This window comes from Homo sapiens, chromosome 11 (genome assembly GCF_000001405.40).
Source record: "Homo sapiens chromosome 11, GRCh38.p14 Primary Assembly".
Lineage (NCBI taxonomy): Eukaryota > Metazoa > Chordata > Mammalia > Primates > Hominidae > Homo > Homo sapiens.
The window spans coordinates 13,071,743-13,077,750 of NC_000011.10; the positions used below are offsets into that span (position 1 = coordinate 13,071,743).

The window sequence follows — 6,008 nt, forward strand, 5'->3', positions numbered from 1 at the left end:
CCATGTTGCCGCAAATGGCAGGATTTCCTTCTCTTTAAAGACTAAATGATATTTCGCTGCATATGTGTCTATAGATATCTATATATCTCTCATTTTCTTTATCCACTCAACCATTGATGAACACTTAGGTTGATTCTATATCTTTGCTATTGTGAAAAACGCAATGAGTACAGGATTGCAGATATGTCTTTTGAGATATTGATTTCATTTCCTTTTTTAAATATCCAGAAGTGGGATTGCTGGATCATATAGTAGTTCTGTTTTTAATTTTTAAAGGAATCTCTGTGCTGTTTCCCACAATAGCTGTACCAATTTATATTCCCACCAACAATGCACAAGGGCTCCCTTTCCTCCACAGCCTCACCAATACTTATCTTTCATCTTTCTCATGATTGCCATCCTAACAGGTGTGAGATGATATCTCATGGTGGTTTTAATTTGCATTTCTCTAATGATTAGTGATGTTGAGCACTTTTTCATATACCTGCTGGCCATTTGTATGTCTTCTTTTGAGAAATGTCTATTCGCATCTTTTAGGCATTTTTAAATTGGATTATTGGAGTTTTTTCGCACTTGAGTCATTTGAGTACCTTACTATTTTGGATATTAACCCCATTATCAGATGTATCACTTGCAAATATTTTCTCCAGTTCTCTAGGTTGCCTGCTCACTCTGTTGATTGTTTCTTGGGCTGTGCAGAAGCTTTTCAGTTTGATGCAATCCCATTTGTATGTTTTCGCTCTGACTTCTTTCTTGATGGCAATCTACTCAAAGAAGGACGCCGACTTCAAACACTGTGAACCCAAGATGGTCTGTACAGACCTGCACTGAGTTCTTTGTCATATATGGGGAGGATTTAACTATGTCTTGGATGAGTCTTAGAAGGAGAAGGAGGACTGGGAATTGTTGGGGGAATTAAAGACAAGGTAAGGAAAGAGCCAGCTGGGAGTGTGAGAGTAAATTAACAATAGTAATAGTGATAATCATGACACCTCATTTAATTGAACACTTACTATGTGCCAGACCCTGCTGTAGGAGCTACATATGTTACTTAAATGTTAACATATCCCTCCTCCTATCATCATCCTCATTTTGCAGATGAAGCAACTGGCTGATAAATTTCTTGATGTGCCAGTAACAGAATTGAACGTACGTGTCACTCCAGTGCTCTAGAGACAGGTGTGAGGGGGGAGAACGTGGAATTTAGAGCTGTCCTATCCTGGAGATCCCTCCCATGAGAGGAGCTGGCGTTTTTTTCTGGTTCTTGAATGAATCCGGTTGAGGCAGGAGGTACAGACTTCCTCAACCAGAGGGCCTGCCTCCCCAGCTCAGGCGTGAGCACCTCAAAGGCAGGGCCTCATCTGCCTACTCTCTGGATCTGCCAGTGCGGCACCTAGCATGGACCCAATCTGTGTTTGTCAATGAAGGTGATGAACACTATTAATACGATGTTGCCCTTTTCCTTGGGGAGTCTTTCTGAGGTGAACACGGTGATGTGTGTAGAGCATGTTACAGTTGACAAAGCACTTTCCCATCCAGTGTTCTGGAGGCCTCAGTGCCACACTAGACTCTCCACTCCTCCTCACTGCTGACCCCTAATGGGTGACCAAATCCAGCCAATTCTACCCTTAAAGTTGGACTCATCTGGTCCTTCCCCACTGCCACCCTCTACATCCAGGTCTCTTTATCTTCTTTCCACAACATCTCTGTGACTTTTCTCCTCACTTCCCATTCTGTCTGGCACTAAGCCCCATTTTTCCATACAGTAGCCAGAGAGATCTTTCTGAAATAGAAATCTGTCCAGGTTTCTCCTCCCTGCCCTTAGGGGCAAGTCCAGCCTTGTCCACAGGGAATGAGCCCTTCTGCAATCCAATCCTCATTTCCTTGGTGCCCAGCTTCTCTTTCTCTTACCAGGCCCCAACCCTTCACCCACCCCGTTCCCGGCCACAGTGCCGAGAGTGACCCATGATGCCGCATGCCTGAGTCATCTGGAGCTGCTGCGCACATCAAAGGGCAGGAAAAGCAGGGCTCTGGTGGGACTTTCCATCCCTCCCTGCACGTCATCCCCCTGCCCGCACCAGCATGTTCTTCTCGCCTGGTGATGTCACTGGCCTGGATGCATGTTGTGGCCAAAGCAATTGGCTCACATCAGGGCTCCAAGGTGGCATAGGAGGGAAATGGATGGGGATGGACGTCCTCCTGGTCTCACTTCAGAGAGATGATTACGGTGCAACAGAAGGTGAAGTAAGGCTTGGCACAGGGCACAATGGGGTGCTCAGGCCTCCCATTTTCTAGGTGCCACTAGGCCCTCAAAACCTCTTAAGTAACAAATGAACATGCAACCTTTGATAAACAATGTCACTAATAACAAACATAACACTTGTTAAACAAAATACTTATATGGTACTGTCTTCACTTATATGGTACTGCTTCACTGTTGTAAGCAGCCCACATGACTTTATCTGATTTAATCCTCATACAATCCTGTGGGGAAGGTTACTAGTTATGATTCCCATCTTACAGACAAGAAAACTAAGGCACAAGAGAGGTTAACTCACTTGCCTAAAGCAACACAGCTAGTAAGTGGTTAAGCCAAGATTTGGCTCCTGAGTCTGTGCTCTTGACCTCTATGTTATTTTGACAATTTGCTAGAGTCAGGCCTGCCATCCTGCCAAAAGGAGTGTCTTCCTGCAACCCCACACTTATGGTGATTGAGAAGTGGCTGCAGAATAGAGATTCTGCAGTGTGCAGCTACAGTGTGGGTCTAGAGAGCCCCAGATGTGCCCTCTTGGCCTCGCCTTGCATGTGCTGTTATTTAGTATTTCATCACTCTGAGTCCTCATACTATTTCTCAGTGAGGCTTTATTGTTCCCATTTTGTGGGTGAGCAAACTGAAACTCAGGAAGATTGCTGCAAGGCAATCCACAGCATTGCTGGGGTTTGAAACCAAGTCTGTCTATCCATAGAACCGGTGGCTTTTCCACTCCTCTAGAAGAAAGAGCTGGTTTGAGGGCAAAGTGAGGCCTTCTATCTGTCCCATCTCAGACATGTGATATCTAAAGCACCATTGAGGCACGCAAGCAGCCACACCTTGAGGGCAGCTCTAGAGAGCATGGAGCTGGAGATGGAGGTTAGGGAGTTGTCTGCCCTGGGTGATGGTTGAGTCTGCAAAGGAGAGATTAGGAATTGAAGAGAGTATAAAACAAGTCTTGGGGAAGGTTTGTTCACAGGTGATGAGTTAAAGAAGAAAGAGCAGAGGTTGGTTTGGGGGTTGGAGGACCGGGATAGTAAGCAGAAGAAACAGAGTAATAAGTCCTATTTGTAGATCAGTCCACAGTTCACAGCGCTTTATCATGTTCCTTTACTCTTACCACACATAAACACACACTTCCATCAGAACCCTCAGGATCCAGTGCTGGCAGCAGGCTAAGTGCTATCTATTGTTTGCACAAATTTCCAGATGGGAAAACTCAAAGAGGGCAAGCGACATGTTTCAGGTATAACAATGAATAAGCAGCACAACTGGTATGGGAATCTACGTGTCCCATGAAACTGCCTCCATGGTGATGGAGCCACAGAAGGAGAGGAAGGAGGAGGCATTGATTGAAGAGGAAATCTTCCTGAGAAAAAGCCACACATCTGGCCCACAGCAGCCTTGTAGCGGCAGGGTCAGTGGGAGTGAGTCCAAATGGAGGGGCAGTAGGAGTGGGAGGTGGGAAGGCAGCGAGGAGGTGGAAAAAGCTGGAATGGATGCCTTCTTAGAGAAACTGGCAAGAAAAGGGAGAATCAGGAGGCTGCTTCAATTCCTAACCTCTCCTTTACTTGCTGTCTCTTCTCCTGCTGACCCAACAATCACCCACAGCAGATGTGCCCTAAACTCCACCTCCAGCCCCATGCTTTCTAGAGCTGCCCACTAAGCTTGGCTGCTTGTGTGCCTCAGTGGTGTTTAGATCCCATGTGTTTGAGATGTGAGGCCCTCTGCCCTCATTTCCCCTCCCGCTCCCTCTCTGCCTGGTATCTCTCCCCGTCTGTCTCCTGCCCTGTCTCTCCCTCTCCTTTTTCCTCAGCACCAGTGACCCCCATCTCTGTGTTTCCACTTCTCCCTCTTTTCCATGGATTCTTTTCTTGCCAGAGTCCTTCATTGGTCTTGCCTCTTTTCCATTCTTCTCTTTTTTCTCCACCCAGCTATCTACATCTGGAAATCTAAGACACGTTTAGTGTCAGGTTTGCTCACCGAATAATGTTTTACACTACTTGTTTTTTTAATTTAAAAGGCAGGAGATCTGAAATGCTCTTCCTTTCTCTCTCACAAAGAAAAACGGTCTCTCTCCAAAAGGGAGGTGCTTTTAAAGTATCATCCTTGATGAGTTTCATGGGTGAACAAGTGGCTCTCAAGGGAAAAATGGCAGGCCCCTCATCTCTGTGTGAAGTGCCAGAGAGAGAAGAGAATTTCTGGATGGAGACAGGAGAAGGGAGGCCACTTTTCTTACTTTTGTTCCAAGTGAGACAGGCTCTCATAGGATCTTCTCTGTGATGAGATCACCCAGCTTGCCCAGCAAGGTGCTAAAAAATAATTGCCCTCGATGAAGACATACAAGTAAATCATTCTGCTTGGCAGAAAAAATTCAAGTGTGTTGGCAAAACATGCAGGCAAAGTGTCTTTCCAGCTGCTGATCTCTGAGGACAGCTGTGCTGTGACCTACCTAAGGCAGACCAGGCCAGGAGCTGCATAGCCCACCCTATGCAGCCCCCAGAGCCCCAACCTCAGTCTTGGAGGACAAAGGGAAGTGACTCTACAACTCCCCCATTCCCAGAAGCACACACTCGATGGGTGGGCATCAGACACCACCTCCTTGTGGGGGAGTTGCACAGCGTGGTGCTGTCATGGCAATGCCTCAACCTTTCCTTCACCCCCTACCCTCTCATTGCTGTGCCCTGAAGGTGACAATGCCATGCAGTGGCTCTTCATGGCTGAGATTTTGCTGCAGGGACAAGCCCCTTTAAGCCACCCCTACCCCAGTCAGAGGACATATTAGAAGCCTTCAGAGCTTTTGCATAGCTCATGCATAGAGCTAAAGTACAATCCTGTGGGATCCAGATATGTTTGGAGGGAGGAATGAGACAATACCTTCTCTCTCCCCATCACTGCTATCGGAGGCATCTTTGCTTGCCTCATCTGAAGCCCTTAAACCACTTTTGCCAACATTAAGTAACGAGATAGTCACTTTTTTGATACAGTTGACAGAGAGTTAAAAGGTTACTTGTTATCCAATAGGAGAAACAAAAATGTCTAAGTTTTACCTTGGATTTATTTCCCAGAACCAGATTCTTTCACCTGTGAGTCATTTTGCTGTCTTCTAAGACCTGAGACAATGGCACCTTAAGGTGTGCCCACAGAATAGGGCATGCCGGCTGCTCCTGAGGGTGACTCGCAGGGCTGAGGAAGGGAGGCAGACACCCCTATCCAGGTCAGCTCCTGGCTGGGAGCCATGAAAGGAGGACAGCTAAGTGACAGAGCCTGAGGCTGTGCTCTACATGTGGGGGAAGAGGGAAAGCAGGTAAGAGGACAGGAAAGAAAGGAGGAGGAAGAGGAATGGAGACAGAAGTAAATTCTCCTAATCCTTCCCTAGGTGTCTGCCTCTGGGATCTCTCTCTTCATGATTTCCTGTCTATACAAAGCCATACACTGAGAGATGTGATGCCGGCTTGACATGCCACCCAGGAAAGCTGCCCAGTACTGGGTCAGTGTTTGTTGGTCCGGTCAATCTGTCCAAGAAATTTTCATTTCTGGCTTGGAAACTTTCTTAGTTTGGGTTCCCTTAGAAGCACTTTCTGAGACTGCATAGTGAGTGCCAGGGGAGTCATAAAGTGAAACAGGGGAGCGAAGGCAGCCATCAAGGCAAATGGATCTTCTTCCCTCCAAGTGGCTCTGGGAGCCAGCGTAGAATACTTGCTTCAGATTTATCCTACCCAAGGAGCCAGGGGCATGTTCCTTAGATGCCAGCTCC

At 46.8% G+C, this 6,008-nt stretch overlaps 1 annotated feature.

Moving 5' to 3' along the window:
• Nucleotides 1,405-2,604: an enhancer, noted in NCBI's record as "P300/CBP strongly-dependent group 1 enhancer chr11:13094694-13095893 (GRCh37/hg19 assembly coordinates)". NCBI's record gives its function as "activates an origin of replication core promoter dependent on BRD2, BRD4, P300/CBP, MED14 and CDK7 cofactors, with strong dependence on P300/CBP, by STARR-seq in HCT116 cells {active_cell/tissue: HCT116}" and the evidence as "EXISTENCE:reporter gene assay evidence [ECO:0000049][PMID:35650434]".